General features: G+C 48.3%; 1 annotated feature.

Moving 5' to 3' along the window:
- Nucleotides 1-918: an enhancer, noted in NCBI's record as "H3K4me1 hESC enhancer chr14:101814370-101815287 (GRCh37/hg19 assembly coordinates)". NCBI's record gives its function as "activates a minimal SCP1, AML or CMV promoter by ChIP-STARR-seq in naive H9 embryonic stem cells {active_cell/tissue: H9 hESC(naive)}" and the evidence as "EXISTENCE:reporter gene assay evidence [ECO:0000049][PMID:30033119]".

Here is a 1,133-nt window from a genome sequence, read left to right as displayed (position 1 = left end):
AAAGCACCTCTTTACCTTGCTCACCCTCCAGTTGTCTGCATATCTCATTCTTCCCAGACATGAGACAGGACCCTGGGGCCTGCTGAATGGTGGGACTGAAAGAGCTGTAACACAAACAGGGCTAAAACACACCCTCTCCTCTTGCCACATTGTGAGCAATGAGGAATGAAGAGATAGGACTCTTCAGGGAGCCCAGACCTAGGGGTTGTGACATGCTCTTTGGGGCTCTGTGGTTTCTGGCGTCTCCAAGCTTCTGGGCACCACCCTGTTCCCCTCATCCAGATGTGGGTGTCCATAGTGGAAGCTGCTTGTGGTGCACTGGTCCAGCTGCAGGCTTGCATGGAGCCAGTGCCTGTGCCAGAGCCTGGAGCTGCCTGCCCTGCTGCAGCATCTAACACGTCTGGCTGTGTGCAGTGGCTAGATCCTGCACATGCTCACTCACACACCACTTGCCGCTCCACACCTGGCTACCCCTTGGCAGGCATGGGATCCAGTCTGTCAGCACAAGCTGAGTGTAGCATGCCAGGCCGAGTGGGCAGAATGAGCCCAGAGGGCCTGAGCAAAACCCAGACCAAGGTGCTCCCGACTACAGAGGCTTCTGGCTGGAAAAGTGATACCCTGAGGATCCTGTGACACTCTCATGCATATGTTCATTCCTTTTCTTTCCATTGTTAAGTAGTCTTCCATCGTATGGGTATACTGCAATTTGTTTATCTGTTCACCCGTTGATGGACATTTATTGGTTCCAGAGTCTCACTATTATGAATAAAGTTATATTTGTGAGCAAATCTTTATGTGGCCATATGCTTTCATTTTTCTTGAGTAAATACCTAGAAGTGAAATGGCTATATCATATGATAGGTGTTTGTTTACATTTTTAAGTAACTGCCAAACCATTTTCCAAAGTGGCTTATTCATTTTATAATCCCACCAGTAGCATATGAAAGTTTTAGAAGCTCCACATCCTCTTCACCACTTAATAGGCTGGGCACAGTGGCTCATGTCTGTAATCCCAGCACTTTGGGAGGCCAAGGCGGGCAGATCACTTGAGGTCAGAAGTTTGAGACCAGTCTTGCCAAAATGGTGAAATCCCATCTCTACTAAAAATACAAAAATTAGCCAGGTGTAGTGGT

The sequence above is a fragment of the Homo sapiens genome, chromosome 14, assembly GCF_000001405.40.
Source record: "Homo sapiens chromosome 14, GRCh38.p14 Primary Assembly".
In the NCBI taxonomy this organism is placed as follows: Eukaryota; Metazoa; Chordata; class Mammalia; order Primates; family Hominidae; genus Homo; species Homo sapiens.
Note: the sequence above shows the minus strand (reverse complement) of the source record. Positions and strands in the feature narration are given on the sequence as shown.